The 19,244-nt window shown below is 46.8% G+C and overlaps 1 protein-coding gene and 1 long non-coding RNA gene across 2 annotated transcripts in view; one reads left to right on the plus strand and one right to left on the minus strand.

Annotated features, from left to right (window-relative positions):
* KIF26B (kinesin family member 26B) overlaps positions 1 to 19,244 on the plus strand; it is a 554,448-nt gene that overhangs the window by 405,538 nt on the left and 129,666 nt on the right. The window lies entirely within an intron of this gene.
* Positions 1,080 to 2,057, minus strand: LOC124904571 (uncharacterized). Its single transcript, XR_007066989.1, has 2 exons — positions 1,879 to 2,057; positions 1,080 to 1,673 (listed from the first exon to the last, which is right to left on the minus strand). It is a non-coding gene; the product is annotated as an uncharacterized LOC124904571 (long non-coding RNA).

Raw genomic sequence — 19,244 nt, forward strand, 5'->3', positions numbered from 1 at the left:
TCCTAATTATGTTAGAAAAAAAAGCAAAGCGGGAACTTGGCTTTTGTGTTGCCTTCACAGAGTGTGGAGGTTGAAAACATCTCAGCGCACTTCACGGAGGTTCTCAGAGACCCCATAAGTTTCTGGAAAAGTGGGAAACGCAAACCTGTCAACCTGTCAGTCTCTCCCCTCTCACGGAAGCCTGACATGTAAATCTCAAGTTGTTAAACCTGCTGTCAAATGAGCTGCCTCCACTGAAGACTCCCCTCCGCTCCTCGCACTCTCATCACTGCCCCTCACTCTCTGTCCCCACAGCACAGGGACAGCCTCCGCAGACTCCCGTGTGTGTGCTCTGGAGAGAAAAGATTCTGGATTTGGGCGGTCTCACCTCCAAAATTGCAGCCCCTAAGGGGAGCCGTGCTAAGGTGTGATACAGGCCATGCCCCTTCTAGCCCCATGGGACACCTGACTGATAGCAGCCTGTGCAGATGTGAGGAACAGAAGGTGGCCCCAGACCCCTTAGGAGAAACCAAAGTGCCTCAGAGACAGGACAAGTGCTACCCCGGAGGCCAGTCACCAGGTGACCTGGGAGCTGGGAACCTTTTCAGCCTATGGGTGGCTGTTTATCACGAGGGGCATTAGACAGACAGGAGGCAGTGCTGAAATTCAACAGCACAAAGCAATTTCCAGCTTCATCTTGGCTTATTAATAATGAAACAGCAATAGCGCAGGCACAAATCAACAGTAAGTAGGTGGGTGGGTGAGACAAGTTGGACATTTGGGGAACAGCCTGGGCAGCTACCGATACAGAGGGAAGCCATTTGGTGTGTGTACCTCCCCTCTTCCCTGGGATAGGAGCAAACCTGAAATGAGAACGGCAGTCATCTGCACACAAAAACTAGGTTAGGAAACTGTTTTCTAAGGGGCCAGGTTGGGTCACTCTTTGTGACAAGAACCGTGTGAACCACTTCTTACCTGTAATTCTGACTCAGCATTGATATTTGAAAATTCTTCCCTAGGGCTGGGTACTGAGTACTGTTCTGAGTGCATTACATACAACAGCTCATTTACATACGTAATACATTCACATACATCAATCATTTGCATGTATCAACTCATTTATGTACATCAACTCATTTGCATACCTCATTTCATTTGTACATAACTCATTTGCATATACCAACTCATTAAAGTTGTCTCTTTTACTAGTGAGGAAACTGAGGCCTAGAGAGTCATGTGCATGCTGCATCTCTGCATGCTTCCTCTGATGGTTTGATGTGGGTCAATCCTACGTCTGTGCACATCTTAACAACTATCGTAGGTGTAGGGTGCCTTTGGTTTACTAGAGGTTTCATCAGTCCACCTGATTCTCACTACTGACGTAAATGTCAGAGGTGGTCCTGCCTCTTCTCAGTCTCCATCCCAAGGCTCTTTACAGCTTTCTGTGGCCTGATTTTCTTGCTGTGGATGCTGAAGGGCACTCTTCAGTGGTTTCTCCCAGGGCCGTTGCGGATTGCAGCTGTTTCATACCCAGATGACCTGGGGGGCATCTTCAGTGTGTGCAGATCAGACTCAGCACTGATACTCGTCCTCCAGCCGTACTTTGTCTCCGCGGTGGTGCTCAGACTTAAAGCACTTCTCAGCTGTGCTAGTGGTCCCTTCAGAGAACGAATTATGCTGAGGCAGAGAGGGACCTGGGGAGGGTAGGGAAGGTCACAAATTAAACAGCAGATTAGAGGACAGAAATTCGGTTTGTGGCTTTAATATTTTATACTCAGTATGACAGGCAGACTCTTCAAAAAAACATAACCTAGTGGCCCAAATCGCAATTTTACGTTATACTTTCAATATAGGAGGACCCTCACATTGCTTAAAAGGGGTCTTCAGGGAGAAATTTACCCAAAATTTCATGCTTGGCTCCGTGGTGACGGCACATCCTCACTCTGAGAACCAGGACCGGCCTCGGGAGTCCAGGTTCTGTTCCCAGTTTGTATGCACACCGATTTCCCCACTGTCTGTCACAACCAGTCAACTTCCCATGTGTTAACAGTTACTGAATCTACCTGTCCGCACGTGGCCAAGCCCCGCCCCCCCCTTCCCCCATGCTCTTCTCTCTGCCTGGCCAACTCCTCAATCTTGGCAAAGTCCTTCAGAACCCTTGGGTAGTGTGAGTTACCTTCCTTTGTATAGAATCTGAAAAATCATTGCCCTTTTTTTATTAGAGTCAGGATCTCATTGCTCTGTCACCCAGGCTGGAGGGCAGTGGTGCAGTCATAGCTTACTGCAGCCTCAAACTCCGGCAGGTCTCAAGTGATCCTCCTGCCTCAGCCTCCCGAGTAGCTGGGACTATAGGCATGCGTCACCATGCCTGACTAATTGTGTTATTCTTTGTAAGAGATGGGCTCTCACTGTGTTGCTGAGGCTGGTCTCGAACTCCTGGCTTTAAGGGAATCCTCCTGCCTCAGCCTCCCAAAGTGATAGAATTACAAGTGTAAGCCACCACACTTGTCCATCATTGCCTTTTAATCTTTGCATCCTGCCACCTCCCCAGCACAGCCAGCATAGGAGCCGGCACTTAGTACATGTTTGTTTGGGGAATGAATGTGAGGTCACTAGTCAATGATTCTGAAATGAGTCTATTGAAGGTGGAAACCAGCACAATTCAAATGCTTTGCGTTAAATGCCAGTCAGTGTCTCTTCCCAAAGACCCCCACTGAACCCATCAGATGTAAAATCCCCCATTTTATCACCGAACAACCTGTTTCCACCCATTTCCCTTATTCACTAAACAACCCGTTTCCACCCATTTCTCTTGTTCCTTCTTATTGCAGTGGGGGACGTGTCTTTGCCTTCTTTCAAGGGTTAATGTTTCCAAGTGGGTTCTATCTTCTCAAGGATCACTGGTCTTTCGCATATACCCTCTTGCTCCCGAATCATTAAGAACTCCTGCCCATTGGATGATGTTGCTGTATCTCCAATTATATTTTGAAACTTTCTCCCTCTCACTTACTCCTCCACGTGTCCCATTTCTCTGCCTTCTTAATGGCCACTTCTCAAACACATGGCTGACAGATTCCGGAGGCCTTCAACTCCCACCTATGAAGCAGCCAGTGGCCTCGGGAGTGGGGCTGCTTGAGACTGTGGGAACGATGTTTTCGTTAAGAATGGACTGCCTGTATAATGGTGGTCCCATAAGATTATAATACTGTGTTTTTACTACACCTTTTCTATGTTTAGGTATGTTGTTTAGATTTAGAATATGTAACGCAATTACCGCTGCGTTACCAGCAATCCCAAGAGGACCCCAGACCCTCTGAAGGAAGCGGGCTCCTGCAGGACCCGGGAGACAGTGTTGAACTTGACCTTGCTCTCCTCCTCGGGTCAGGCCTGCCGACCCTGCACTACAGGTTCCTTTTTCTCTCCCTGTCCGTGCATCCATCTGTTTCTGCACTCTCTTCGGTGCATCCTCTGAACCACCAGAATTAGGTTCCTCCACACCAAATGTGATCATTTCATTTCGCAGCTAGATTGCTCGTGAACAGCTAAGCAGGTCACGCTGAGCTCGACACAGTCCAATCCCAAGTACCAGTCAGGCTCCCACCGTCCCTTCCTATCCCAAAATGTCACCTCCCCTGTGTTGCAGCCACACTGAAGCCTCAATGTCCCCTAAACATTCCAGACCCTCTTGTGACTCTGAGTCTCTGCCCCTGGGTTCACGCCACTTAGAATGAGCTTCCCCCCATTTTCTGCGATACACACTGTCACTTTCCCTGGGAACAGATTCGACCTGGGCAGAATGCTCTTCAGTTTGTTCCTATCTCTGCCGGGATCTATATGTTCTGGACTCTCTTCTACGACACGGAGACCTTTCCCGGAGCAGGAACGGGGCCACGGCCGTGTTTGCATTTTCTGAACCCAGGATGGTGCCACTGTGGTTTGTTCTCCCCGTTCAAGTGTTGCTGACTGGTGGGGAGGGACAGCATCGCCTCAGTGAAAGTTTTGGGTTAAACACTGTCTGCAGTAATTCAAAAGGATAAGAAGGACTCCTTTCACTGTGCATCTTTAGACGAAGCATCAACAAAGGCTTTTTCACTGAAATCCAAACTCAAGGTGTATACATGTCACCTCCCAGCACAGCAAATGGCACAGACTCGAGGGAATGTTTTCCTTCCGGAACAACATTATAAAGCAGCAGCCCCCAGCCTGTAGGCACCAGGGACTGGTTTCACGGAAGACAGTTTTCCCACGGACCAAGGGTGGTGGTGGGGGATGATGATTTCAGGAAGATTCCAGTGCATTCCATTTATCATTAGATTCTCTCAAGGAGCGTGCAACCTAGACCCCCACATGCACAGCTCACAATAGGGTTTGTGCTTCCATGAGAATCTAATGCTGCTGCTGATCTGACGGGAGGCAGAGTTCAAGTGGTAACGCTTACCTTCTGCTGTGTGGCCTGCTTCTTAACAGGACACCGACTAGCACTGGTCCGTGGCCTGGGGGTTAGGGAGCCCTGCTCTGTTACAGAGAACAAAATTTGTTACGTAGGGATCACTTGAGCCCAGGAGTTCAAGGCTGCAATGAGCTATGATTGTGCCACTGCTTTTCAGCCTGGCTGAGCGAGACCCTCTCTATAAAAAATTTTTTTAAAGAGTAAAATTTGTATAGTTTTTGGGAATTTACTATGGTGATATTTTATAGCGCTGTCAGGAATGCTCTAGCTATTGGTGGGCCCTCAGAGCACAGTGAATTCGAGGGCTCTGATGTATTCTGTTGTTTTTTTTGGGTTTTTTTGTTTTTTTTATTTTGAGACAGAGTCTCACTCTGTTGCCCAGGCTGGAGTGCAGTGGCACCATCTCAGCTCACTGCAACCTCCACCTCCCGGGTTCAAGCAATTCTCCTGCCTCAGCCTCCTGAGTAGCTGGGACTACAGGCGTGCACCACCACGCCCAGCTAATTTTTCCTATTTTTAGTAGAGACGGGGTCTCACTACGTTGGCCAGGCTGCTCTCAAACTTCTGGCCTCAAGCAAGTTGCCCTCCCGGGCCTCCCAAAGTGCTGGGATTACAGGCATGAGCCACTGCGCCGAGCCTCTGATGCGTTCTTGCCGGTCATTTGTACAGTGTTGCTTGCATGTGAGTTCTTCTTCAGGTCGAGATTAAGGGTATGACATTAGTACTAACCATTATTCAACCTCTGAAATATACGCACATGGGACAAAGGAGATAATTTCATTTACTTATGTGGCCTTACTTTGAAGATATTCATATGTTAGTCCATTTTGCATTACTATAAAAAATACCTAAGGCTGGGTAATTTATAAAGAGGTTTAATTGGCTCATGGTTCTGCAGCTGTACAGGAAGCATGGTGCTAGCATCTCCTTGGCTTCTAGTGAGGCCTCAGGAAGCTTCCGATCATGGCAGAAGGTGCAAAGGGAGCAGGCATGTCACATGGCAAGAGTGGGAGCAATAGAGAGAAGGGGGAGGCCCCAGACTCTTTAAAACAACCATTTCTCACATGAACTAACTGAGCGAGAGCTCACTGATCACCAAAGGATGGTGCTAAGCCATTCATAAGGGATCTGCGGCCATGATCCAGTCACCTCCCAGCAGGCCCCACCTCCAGCACTGGGGATTACATTTCAACATGAGATTTGGAGGGGCAAACCTCTGAGCCATATCACCATAGTTAGTGCATGCCAGATGATTTTTGCGTTTCCCACAGGATGTCAGTGAGCCTTTTTCTCAGTCATGGCCAGCCCCAACAGAGAGGCAAGATGAGTTCCTCTTGGTTGTGATGCCTCTTTTCTTTTCAGTTCACACTTTATGCCCTTTGGCTTGCTGCCAGGTGCTACCTTTCACCCAAAAGAACCACAGGCTCCTCACGGATTTTGCATTCCTTCAGGGTCCTGCCAGTTACTGGCAAATTCAATGATAATTGTGCTCACTGTATAAAATACTTTCTGGAATAAGGTAAAATATGAATGAAAAAATGCACAAATGCCAAACAAATACAGTTGCTTGTGCTGAGATTTTGTTTTAAAGAAGAAAGAGAAAAACAAAGAAATTAAGGACAGCATTGCGATCACTTTTCTTCCTCCAAACAAAAGCTTTCAAGCGCAACATGTTGATTTTTAAAATTCCTTTCTGGGCTGGGCGTGGTGGCTCACACTTGTAATCCCAGCACTTTGGGAGGCCAAGGCAGGCGGATCAGAAGATCAGGAGTTCGAGACCAGCCTGGCCAACATGGTGAAACCCCATCTCTACTAAAATACAAAAATTATCCAGGCATGGTGGTGTGTGCCTCTAATCCCAGCTACTCAGGAGGCTGAGAGAGAAGAATCACTTGAATCCGGGAGATGGAGGTTGCAGAAAGCCGAGATTGCACCACTGCACTCCAGCCTGGGTGACAGAGTGAGACTCCAACTAAAATAAATTAATAAATACATGAATAAATAAAAAAATAAAATTCCTTTCTGTAGCCACTGTGAGCCAAAAGCACGGGCTTAAACTGCAGAGTGCTGTGTGTGCACTCACAAATCCCAGGTTCCCAGAGTGGAGAGCCCTGCACCCCAGCCGCGGCCAAGGGTCAGAAGTAGCAACTGGTGATTAATCAAGTGGCTCCTGTCTTAGGACAGTCAGCGTTTATTGTCTCTGCAGGCCAGACTATAGAAATAAGCAGACCCACAAAAGCCAGCAATTAATATTTCCCCGGAGAGATTCCAGATGCTGCCGGGTGGACTGTGACATGCTAGCATTCTTCCTGCTCCTGATTTATTCCATTGTGTGGAAGAGCTTCCACAGAAATGACTCTTTGGATTTTTCAGGAAATGTTTCAAGCCTTCTTATTCAGACACCCTTTCAGCGTCCAGTGATGGACGAAGCTGTGCCCTAGAGTCCCACCTTCCCAAACAGTGGGCAACTTGCTTTCTCCAGCCTCCTGTCCCCTTCCGAGCACCCTTCACCCCTCCCATCCCCAGGAGTCGCTGAATAGGTCCCATGGGAGAGAAATGACAGCTTGAAGTGATGACCCATCCCACCCCATCAAATGTTGGCATTTTACTCTGGCCTCCAAAGGCATGGGGGGATGACCCATGGCAGGAATACAGGCCTTACAGAGAGGTTCACTCCAACCAAACCATGCTGCTCCCCCAGTGGCCCACCATGAAAACCTCTGGAAAACCAACTTATTTGCCAAATGACTCCCATGAGCAGGCCTTTGCAAAATTTCAGAGTGTTGTACAGCTGCATCCCAGGACAAAACTCTTTCTTTTCAGTACTAACAGTGCAAGTAGAATAGGGTCGTGGTGGAGCATCCCATTGTCTTCATTCCTGGTCCACTAATTTTCATCTGAGTTAAGAGTTTTGGGTTTGAATTCAAGGGAAATGAAAAGTTCTTAAAGGGGCCGGGCACGGTGGCTCACACCTGTAATCCCAGCACTTTGGAAGGTGGAGGCAGGCAGATCACCTGCGGTCTGGAGTTCAGGACCAGCCTGGCCAGCATGGCAAAACCCCGTCTCTACTAAAAATTAAAAAAAATAGCCGGGGTTAATCCCAGCTACTCAGGAGGCTGAGGCAGGAGAATTGCTTGAACTTGGGAGGTTCAGTGGAGGTTGCAGTGAGGTTGCAGTGAGCCGAGATCATGTCCCTGCACTCCAGCCTGGGCAACAGAGTGAAACTCCATCTCAAAAAAAAAAAAAAAAAAAAAAAAAAAAAAGAAGCTCTCAAAGGGCCTGAGCCAGGCACCGTGGCTCATACATGTAATCCCAACACTTTGGGAAGCCAAGGCAGCAGGATCACTTGAGCTCAGGAGTTCAGCCTGGGCAACAGAGTGAGACTCTATCTCCACAAAAAATGTTTTTTAAAAATTAGCCAGGTGTGGTGGTGCATGCCTGTAGTCCTGGTGGGTGGCCAAGTCAGGAGGATCGCTTGAGCGTAGGAGGTTGAGGCTGCAGTGAGCTATGATCATATCCCTGCCCTTCAGCCTGGGCAACAGAGTGAGACCTTGTCTCAAAAAGGAAAAAGAAAATGGCTTGAAAGGCATGTGAGACATTACATAGTTTGAGGTATTTCCTTTGCTATATGCAAAGGCATAAAAATGAACAGGGAGCTAGCGGTTTATTGCTGGTCCGAACCAGCAACATCACAGCTGGCCCTGGGCGTCACAGGGTCTCATGGGGGTACCTTAAGAGGATTCTTAAATGAAACTCAGAACACAGAGAAGTAGTTGATTTTGTGTCTTGCATGTTCTGACTCTTCATTTAGTGTCACAGCAAGGGTCAAGGATATGGGAAATCATAAACAATCCCAAGAGTTTCATGATCTTTGAGAATCTTAAAGCTTCATCTAAGCTATGCTTTTGAATTGGGCAGAACCAGAATGGATACAAGATGAATACAGTTCAAATGATTCTAAAACTAGAGATTAAATCCTGTGAATTTCCTACTCTCAGCAGGAGGAGATTACAACTATTTCCAGGTTTAAGATGATGAACATGATTGGTTTTGCCCCGTGCTCACTGGGCTCAGATGAGAAATAGCTTTAAGGTGCATCCAGGGTTTGGTTGGTTGTGAAGAAGAATATTCCTTGTCGTCAATGAATAAATGTTGTGATAGGTCATTAGAGGAGGATCTAGAGCCCTTTGCTGGAAATTGTTTGAATTTGAAGCCAGAGAAGTAAGCAAGTAACCACTTTGTTCTCCTTCTTTCTCTTTGTTTACTCCATTGTACATTGACTGTCTCCCAAAGTATCCCACCGAGCCTTAAGAAAAAGTTCCCCTTAAAGATAACAGAACTGGAGGATTCAGCTAGGGGCTTTTTGATTAGTCAAGAAGCCTTTGATTGGATGGACATGTAATCCCAGCACTTTGGGAGGCTGAGACGGGAGGATTATTTGAGTTTAGGAGTTCAAGACAAGCCTGGGCAACATGGCAGAAACTTGTCTCTACAAAAAGTACAAAAAAATTAGCCGGGCATCGTGGCAGGCACCTGTAATCCCAGCTACTCGGGAGGCTGAGGCAGAATTGCTTGAACCTGGGAGGCAGAGGTTGCAGTGAGCCAAGATCCTGTCACTGCACTCCAGCCTGGGCGACACAGCGAGACTCCATCTCAAAGAAACAAATAAACAAACAAACAAAAAACAAAAATTAGCTGGATGTGGTGGTGCATGCCTGTAGTTCCAGCTACTCGGGAGGCTGAGGTGGGAAGATCACTTGAGTCCAGGAGGTGGAGGTTTCAGTGAGCCATGATTGCACCACTGCACTACAGCCTGGGTGACAGAGTGAGACCCTGTCTCAAACAAAACAAACAAACAAACACCTTGATTGATGATCCAATATAGTTCTTTTGTTGTTCTTTGGGCCTTCTTTTTTTTTTTTTTTTAATGATCACTTATCTTTCCCTTGAGGGAAACCTACGTTGTAAATAGAGAATTTTTTTTTTTTTTTTTTTTTTTTTTGAGACGGAGTCTTGCTCTGTCGCCCAGGCTGGAGTGCAGTGGCATGATCTCAGCTCACTGCAAGCTCCGCCTCCTGGGTTCACGCCATTCTCCTGCCTCAGCCTCCGGAGTAGCTGGGACTACAGGCGCCCGCCACCACACCCGGCTAATTTTTTTGTATTTTTAGTAGAGACGGGGTTTCATCGTGTTAGCCAGGATGGTCTTGATCTCCTGACCTCGTGATCCACCCGTCTTGGCCTCCCAAAGTGCTGGGATTACAGGCGTGAGCCACCATGCCTGGCCTGAGAAAAATATTTTTGATTTCCACTTTATAGATGAGAGAATTGAAATTCAGGTTAATGATGCCACTCAGGCTTGAAACTTCAGCATCATTTTTGTGTTTCTTCTGCACATCCCACATTCGGTCCATCACCAAATTCTGTTAATTTTTTCCTCGTGATGTTACTGGCATCTGTCTTTTTCTCATCACATCCACTGATACCAACTGGGGCTTTCTGGATGATTATACTGGATTTTTCCATTACCTTCCACATGCTGGTCTTACCTCCTTGATGCCTCCCGTAAGTATTTTGGATCTTGGGAATATGAATTCATGTCTGTTCCCTTCGTTTGGCACCCCCATGGGTTGTGGGCACAGAGGCAGGGAGGCTCTGAGAGGCATGGGCCAGGAAAGGCTTTTCAGAGATTTCTGAGCATACCTGTGTCCCTTACACCTTATTCTAATTCACACCAGCTCTTGGTGTTTGCTCTTCGACTGTGGACCTCTGTGGATGGTAGACAATTTGTGTGAGTCCACGAGCCCTTCAGTGTTAAACATCATTAAACATAAGGTCGCAAAAGTCAGCTGATGCTCAAACTGAAATTGTTGTATTTTGTTTTGTTTTATGTTATTTTGTTTCCCAGAATGAGGATATATTGGTCTTATTGTGCTATGTGTTAGAGCCACATATTCTTTCTTCTGATTCTGTGTTCACATTGCCTTCCAGATATCATCAAATCTAACATGTTAAAATCTAACATAATGAGTGAAAATATATCAGCGAGAATGATAATAGTATCTGCTTTCTAATCCATGTGTTCATCATGGGAAATAACAAAGCTGCATCATATCCTGTCTTGTTTCTATCATGTCCTCTTCTCCAGTTAGATCCTAAGTCCCTCCATGACAAAGACCTGGATTCGTTCACACATTTAGTGATTCAGCAAAACACCTAGTAAGTACCCCTTGTGTGGAAAGCCCTGTACTTGCCTTTGGTCCTATGGGAGTTGCGTTGCTTGATGTTAGTGATGTACCTAAGGGTGGTGTTAGGACTGACCGGGGCTCCCCTCCCAAGCCCCACCTATGTTTTTAATCACAATACCATGCAACTTCCAAATCAACGCTGTTGATAGAAAGACACCTACCCAGCTCTGAAGAGTTATTTGGTCCCTAGATCAAGGGGCAGATAAGTCAGATTTCCAGAAAGATAGAGCCTGCCTCTTTGTCATTCCATCTCCACTATTCCTTCACTGATGAGAAAGTGATCAGATCAGAACTGATGTTGTATAAACTGCTCTGTAATTCCTGCCTGATTGGCTTTTCTTGAGAGGTGCCTGTCCATTAGCTTTTGCCTTCCTTTTGTCAGGCTCTCTAAACACTTTAAGTAACAGAATCAATTAAGCCTTCCTCACGATTTTAGAAAACTAAGTGGTAGCTCAGGAGGGGAGTCATCCTAACAAGCTGTCTGTGTAGACAGTGGATTCTGTATTGTCGCTTTTGTTTCTCAAAGGTTTGGGTTTGGTCAGAGGTTACCAAGGAACCTTCGCTATATTTCCACAGATTCTTTTGTGAGCCTCTAGTTCACGCCCTGTAAGGACATTCATCCTTCTCTGTCCTTGGGAGACGTAGGAAAATTATTTCCTGGAGAAATCAGGCGCTTGTAAGAGCCAGCCTTTCAAAGAGGTATCTACCATCAAAGGGGCTAATCGTCCGAGTGACAGACACGCATGGCTGGCTTCCCTCTTTACTCTGCCTTGATTGAGACAAGATGAGCGTGCTGCTGGCCTTAGCAATGGGGGATTCTGTTAGAACAATATCCTCAGGGAATAGCTTTTATCTGCTAAGTATGACAAGTGTGGCAACTGTGCACAGAGTCCAGATCTCACGACCTCGCTTTGCAAAGGCTACAAGACCAAGGGCTTGTGTACCTGCCCCAACAGAGACAGGCTGACTCTTACTACGTGGCCGTAGGAATGGTTTGCCCTTGCTCAGGACTTATTTACCTAATGTCGTTTGGCCTGGAATGTTTCAGAGCACCCTTTCATGCCTGGTCAGGGTTGTGATCCCTTTTGGAGACAGAAGGAGGTAGACGTGCTTTTGTGTTTCCGACACTGAGGACATTGAGGTTCTGGGGGATTCATCACTTAGCTCCCAACTCTTATTGGGAGCAGAAGTGCCACTGGAGTAGGGTGGCTGGTTTGAGGGTGTGGCCCCGGGAAAGGTGGCAGGACACACTTCTCTTGTTCTCCAGCCCATTTTCAGGCACGGTATCCTGCGCTGCTAGCACCGTAGCCATCACTGACCTCAGGACCCTCCCGGTGAACACTCAGTTAAAATTCCTACTCGCTGCAGTGGGAAATTTTATGTTATGTGAATTTTATCTCATGATTAAAATTAAAAATGAAATTTTAAAAATGAAATATTCAGTTGCCTTTCCTAGAAGGAATCATCCCGATGATACTATTCCTTACTTCTCACATTCATCCCATTCTAATGCCCACATTTACTTCATAATGTATTACCTACGTATAGTGTATGTTGTTCGCTTCATTTAGCATGACCCTATGAAATGCCTGTGTGACCAAAAGCAGATCAACTGATAAGGCCTTTTGTGGCTCAGATGTGTCTTTGCGGGGAAATGGTCAGGCGTCCTCTGTTGGCAAGGGCACCTGTCCCAAGCAGAAATGGAGAAACACGTCCTCACCTCCTCCTGCCACCTGCTCTGAACAGATTCTGTAGCGTAAAATTCTTTATAAATACACATATCAATGGAGTTCTTGACATTTTGCCCAGAACCTGAGGAAGAATAAAACCTTTCTTGTCCAACTAAAACACACACGGAATAACAAGCAAAAGCAAAAGAGAAATCCCAAGAAAACAGACCAGAAACAAAGGGTTATGCTCCGTCATTGTCCCCAAGAGGGTTACACATGAGACTCACAGGGCAAATTTTATCTAAATTAAAATGCTGATTTTTCACATTACAGGCCCAAAGTTTACCGAGGTCACAGTGCTTTTAAAATTAATGAGGCCGGGAGCAGCGGCTCACGCCTGTAATCCCAGCACTTTTGGAGGCCAACGCGGGTGGATCACGAGGTCAGGAGTTTGAGACCAGCTTGCCCAACATGACGAAACCCCGTCTCTACTAAAAATACAAAAAATTAGCCGGGCGTGGTGGTGGGTGCCTATAGTCCCAGCTACTCAGGAGGCTGAGGCAGAAGAATCGCTTGAACCCAGGAGGTGGAGGTTGCAGTGACCCAAGATCGAGCCACTGCAATCCAGCCTGGGTGACAGAGCTAGACTTTGTCTCACAAAAAAATTAAAAAAGAATAATAATAATGAGTGAAGATTAGCTTCCTCTGAAGTCAGTTCCTTGTGGATCATCTTATTGCTTATTTTTTAACTTATTTGATATCTCACTGACCCCTCCCGAGGCAGAAATTTGCTTTTGCTCATTGCAAACTGGCCAAGGAAAAAAAAAGAACAATTTCCTCTATAGAGTAGTTCCCCCTTATCCTCAGATAGCCTTCCAAGACTCCCAGTGAATGCCTGAGACCTCAGAAAGTACCGAGCCCTGTATGTGCTGTTTTTCTGATCTGGTAACCAGGGCGGCTACTGAGTGGTTAACAGGCAGGCAGTGTAGACAGCAGGAGGTGCTGGGCAAAAGGAAGACTCACATCCCAGGCAGGACGAAATGAGATGGGGTGAAATTTCATCACACTACTCAGAATGGTGTGCAGTTTACAACTTATGAATTATTTATTTCTGGAATTTTCCACTTAATATTTTCAGACTAAGGTTGACTGTGGGTAACTCAAACCTTGGAAAACAAAACCGTGGGTAAGGGAAGACTGCTTTAAGATCTGAGAATGAGGACTGACATGTTTTGGTTTGGCTGGTGGTTTCAGATCCAACCTCAGTAGTTCCTAGAGACCATTTAATTTGTTTTTGAGATGGAGTCTCGCTCTGTTGTCCAGGCTGGAGTGAGTGGCGTGATCTCGGCTCACTGCAAACTCCACCTCCCGGGTTCAAGCGATTCTTGAGCCTCAGCCTCCCGAGTAGCTGGGATTACAGGCATGTGCCACCATGCCAGGCTAATTTTTGTATTTTTGGTAGAGATGGGGTTTCACCTTGTTGGCCAGACTGGTCTCGAACTCCTGACCTCAGGTGGTCTGCCCGCCTCGACCTCCCAAAGTGCTGGGATTACAGGTGTGAGCCACCATGCCTGACCGAGACCATTTAATTTGAATAAGTGCCCAAGAAGCAAAGGACTGAGCCAGGCAAGATGATCTGAGAGCAGGAAGGTGTGGCCAGGCTGGCTGAGCCATGAACAGGCTGGTTGCTCCAGGGCCGGTGTCTCCCCTGGAAGGTTCTGGAGTTCAGGCTGTGTTGGAGTCCACCTTCTGCCCCTCAAGTCCATGGCAGGGCCGTTGACTGCTGCTCTTGCCTGAGTCTCCTGGTTGCAAAGGCCAGGCAAGGCACTGCCTAACGTTGTGACTAACATCGTGGGTGTGACGGGGAGTCAGGGTGGCTTCTCTGTTGCCCCAAGTATGCCCTGCACATCACCATCTTCCTTTTCAAAGAATGGTGAAAATAGGAATTGTGCTCTTTAGGGAAGATTGTCTTTTTTATATCTTTTTCTTTTTTTTTTCTTTTTTTTTTTTTTTTTGAGACAGAGTCTTGCTCTGTTGCCCAGGCTGGAGCGCCAGTGGCGCGATCTCGGCTCACTGCAAGCTCCACCTCCCGGGTTCACGCCATTCTCCTGCCTCAGCCTCCCGAGTAGCTGGGACTACAGGCGCCCGCCACCACACCCGGCTAATTTTTTTGTATTTTTAGTAGAGACGGGGTTTCACCATGTTAGCCAAGATGGTCTCCATCTCCTGACCTTGTGATCCACCCGCCTCGGCCTCCCAAAGTACTGGGATTACAGGCTCAAGCCACCGCGCCTGGCCTTTTATATCTTTTTCAAAGAAAAAGGTAGGCTGGGGGCGGTGGCTCACGCCTGTAATCCCAGCACTTTGGGAGGCAGAGGCGAGTGGATCACCTGATGTCAGGAGTTCGAGACCAGCCTGGTCAACATGGTGAAACCTCATCTCTACTAAAAATACAAAAATTAGCCAGGCATAGTGGTGCACACCTGTAGTCTCAGCTACTCGGGAGGCTGAGGCAGGAGAATTGTTTGAACCCGGGAGGCAGAGGTTGCAGTAAGCTGAGATCGTGCCACTATACTCCAGCCTGGGCAACAGTGTGGGACTCCATCTCAAAAAAAAAATGTAGAAAAATAAAAACAATCATCTATTCATGGCTAGGTAGAGGTCAGATTTCACTCACTGACCTGTTTTTAGATTTTCCTTCGATATTCCAACTCTTAGATATGTCAGGTTGCTGGAGTTGCTGACTGCACTAACTTCTGCATTCTCCAACTTTCCCCTCAGAGAGTGGCTTGTCTAAATCACCCAAATTACCATGTGGGTGAGAATGTTGGGGAAATGAAGATTTAAAATCCACAATATTATTAGTGCTGTCAATATCATAATATCATAAATGTCCATACGAGGAAAGGAGACCTTGGCAGAGGCTACCTTTTCTATCTGTTTTGTGTGTGTGTGTGACATTCTTCATGAATGACTTCTTGAACTATGAAAATGAGGCAACTGTGGCCTGAACTCTCTCATTTGCCTCCTCCCCTTCCTGGCATTTACTTAAGACATTTCCTGATGCTTCCCGGGGGTGTTTCATGCTGGTGTCTAAGCCAGAGATCACACCTCCCACCCACCATGCCTGCACCTCCACTCCTGCAAAGGTTTTTAGAGTCAGGGTCCCTATCAGTGTCTAAGCATCAGGCTCTTCAGACCCTGACCTTTGAAAAGTCCAAATGGCTCTTGAGTGCCCCATTTTCTCCCAATCTGAAAACTGTAAGAATGAAATATAACAATTAAGCCTCAGAGGATCACAAGCGCAGGTGATCCTCATGAGCCCAGACTGATATTTCTAAATTATCTAGATCTTCCTTGAACATAGACTCCAGAGTTACCGGGACGCAGCGTTCCCATTCCACTGGGCAGCCATCTATACGTGAAGTGTCATTGTTGGTGGTTTGGGAGTTTTATTTTCCCTTTCATAACACGTCTCCTGTCTCCTCAGCTCCCCCAGAACTCCCTGTAATCATATTTGCTATCAGTTGTGTTTGTGGAGGTGTAGTGAATTTTTCAGGGATGAATACCAATGCTGAGACCCTCCAAGAAGACCTGTGAGGTCAGCCTCTGTCAGCGTGACAGCCCAGTGGGAGGGGGCCCCAAGCTACACAGCAGGAGATGATTGTCACACGTCCTGGTGAGAGAGCCTGCTCACCAGCTCTGGACCTGCACTCCGTGTGCCTGGCCAGTAGATAGGTTTCCCTGGTGTTCCCCAGGCCTTTTCTGCTTCATGACATTGATTATATAGCTAGCATTTCATTTCAGTAGGGCTTGGGAAAGGGGGTTCTTTATTGCAGCTCCTGTAAAAACCCATTTCCACACGAATCACCTCTGGCCTTTTTCTGTCTGGCACATTGTTTAGACAGGAGGGGTTTGTGTGTATCACTTCCCTCCAGCCTCTCCTAAGTGGAAGCCTGGGATTTGGAAATTGGGATTTTTTTCCTTCTCTCTAAATGAATGCCTTGTTGGATACCTTGTTGATAAAATGCCATTTCTCACATCTTTATAGCTTAAGGGGCTACCTTAGCCACAAGGCACAGTCCCTTATTACTGATAAGAGCTACTGTCATTTCACTTATATACTTTGGGAGATTCATTTTTGCTTCTCAGCATCATTTATGTTATGATTCATATCTAAATTTAAGGTAAAATTTTATGCTTCACCATCGACTTTTCAAAGTTTGTCTTTGAAAATGATTTTTAAAATGATCTAATCCAAACCTCTCAGTTTACAGGTGAGAAAACAAATCTAGGGCAGAGTTTTTCCACAGGGGCACGAGTGATGTCATGGACCAGATGTTTGTGTCGTAGGGGGATGCCTGGTGCACTGTAGGGCATTTCCTGGGATCTCAAGCTTCTATCCTCTGGATGCCAGTAGCACCCTCCAAGTTGTGACCAACAAAAATGTCCCCTGTCACACAGCTAAGTCATAACAGAGTCAGGCATAAGACACGGGTGTCCCGACTCCCCCATCTGCCCTTTCCAGGTTGGGCAACAGAATTAAGCTCTCAACCCACACAGAGCTCAGAGAATTAGTCAAGAGCACTTCCACAATCTCCAGGGAGAGAAGAGGGTTTAGGAGACAAAAGAGCCAACAGCATGGAAGAGCTTTGTGGAACTCTGGGCGATGCATCCCCTACATGGAAGAGCTTTGTTGAACTCCAGGCGATGCTTCCCCTATACGGAAGAGCTTTGTGGAACTCGGCAGTGCATCCCCTACACGGAAGAGCTTTGTGGAACTCCAGGCGATGCATCTCCTCACCGGAAGAGCTTTGTGGAACTCCGGGCGATGCATCTCCTCACCGGAAGAGCTTTGTGGAACTCCGGGCGATGCATCTCCTCACCGGAAGAGCTTTGTGGAGCTCCGGGCGATGCATCCCCTCACCGGAAGAGCTTTGTGGAACTCCGGGCGATGCATCTCCTCACCGGAAGAGCTTTGTGGAACTCCGGGCGATGCATCCCCTCACCGGAAGAGCTTTGTGGAACTCCGGGCGATGCTTCCCCTACAAGGAAGAGCTTTCTGGAACTCGGCAATGCATCCCCTCACCGGAAGAGCCTTGTGGCACTCCTGGCAGTGCATCCCCTACACGGAAGAGCTTTGTGGAACTCTGGGCAATGCATCCCCTAACCGGAAGAGCTTTGTGGAACTGCGGCAATGAGTCCACTCTCCCCAGTCTCCCTGTCTACGAATAGAACTTGGCCCAGTGAGTCACTGACTCAACTTCTGTGATCTTCTACTAGACGATATGGTTTAGAAATTCATAAGATGTGTGTCAGGAGTTAACAGGTTTAGGGGAAAGAACAGAAGAGGCGGAGGAATGTCTCCCCATGAATGCTGACCCTCCACATACCCAGAACCTGGGACTAGCCCCTTGGCAAAGACTCCATGAGCCTCATACAGTGAATGGGACTCGTTCTCAGCCAGGTAGACATCAGCTTGGGTCTGACCCCCATCCTTGTGTGCAAGTCCTGATTCACAGAGTTTCTTTGGCACTTTTGCTTAAGCTGTAACAAACAGCCAGTCTGCACAGGGCTCCCTTCTGTCTTTCCCTTTAAGTCGGCTCACATTTCTCTCCTGGTCACAGCTGTAGAGGACACACACAGCACGAAACATGAGGAGTGTGGCAAGTAATGAATGCCCCCAGGGTATTGCCACTTTCTGACAGATGAGGACAAATGTAATTTCCAGGGATTTCATAGCTGAGAGATTAGAAGCTTTCCTGCTGGGCCTAATTCTGGAGCCAGGTATGAACCTGTGTTTCCCTTGTATAAAGGTAAAAGAATTCTGTTACTGGGGCTGTGGATGGAGCCGATTTTAACATTTGTTTTTTGAGCTCCATCTATAGCTCGTAAGGTCCACCAGGCTGGTCCAAGGTGCCTTTCCTCTAGACACAGGATTTCATTTAGTGGCTGTGCCTACATGCAAAGCAGCAACTTCATTCAACTCTCTGGGTCTTTGTCTTAGTGATGCCAGAAATAACAAAATAGAAACTGAACTATTACATGAAATGACTTTTGGGTTGGAAAAACAGGCTCTAAGAACAGAGTTAATGAACTGAGAGAAAATAGTTTCTGGTTATGCTACTAGAAACTGTGGTTTTTATCCTCATAAATCATTGCTTTAGGGAAAAAAAGTCCTTTCTAAACTTTTCCTGTCCTGTTTCCTTTTCATTTTTTGAATGAATGAACAGTAGGGTATTCTCTGTCTTTGAGTTATTTTCTTCCTAGCCACCTGGTCATAATCCAGAGGGAAAAACAAATTAGATGGATTCTGTGAGCTATATTTCATTGCTATTGGTGTGTGGATCACAATGCTTTATTTTCCACCAGTTAAACGAAGAACATTCTGGAAACTTTGCACAAAGAAAAATTAGTGTTTATCCCTACAGTTGAAATTTTCTAGGAAAAAAAAATAGCAACAAATTAAGTTTTGAAAAAGGAGAGCCAGGTGCAGTAGGGTGCATCTGTAGTCCCAGCTACTCAGGAGGCTGAGGCGGGAGGACCACTGCAGCCCAGGAGTTCAAGGCTGCAGTGAGCTATGATTGTACCACTGCACTCCAGCCTGAGCGACAGAGCTAGACTCTGTCTCTAAAAAAAGAAAATTTAAAAAGGAGGCTTGGCTGGGTGCAGTGGCTCAACGCCTGTAATCCCAGCACTTTGGGAGGCTGAGGCGGGTGGATCACCTGAGGTCGGGAGTTCCAGACCAGCCTAACCAACATGGAGAAACCCCATCTCTACTAAAAATACAAAAAACAAACAAACAAACAAACAAACAAACAAACAAACCAAATTAGCCCGGTGTGGTGGCACATGCCTGTAATCCCAGCTGCTTGGGAGGCTGAGGCAGGAGAATCACTT

The sequence above is a fragment of the Homo sapiens genome, chromosome 1, assembly GCF_000001405.40.
Source record: "Homo sapiens chromosome 1, GRCh38.p14 Primary Assembly".
Taxonomy (NCBI): Eukaryota; Metazoa; Chordata; class Mammalia; order Primates; family Hominidae; genus Homo; species Homo sapiens.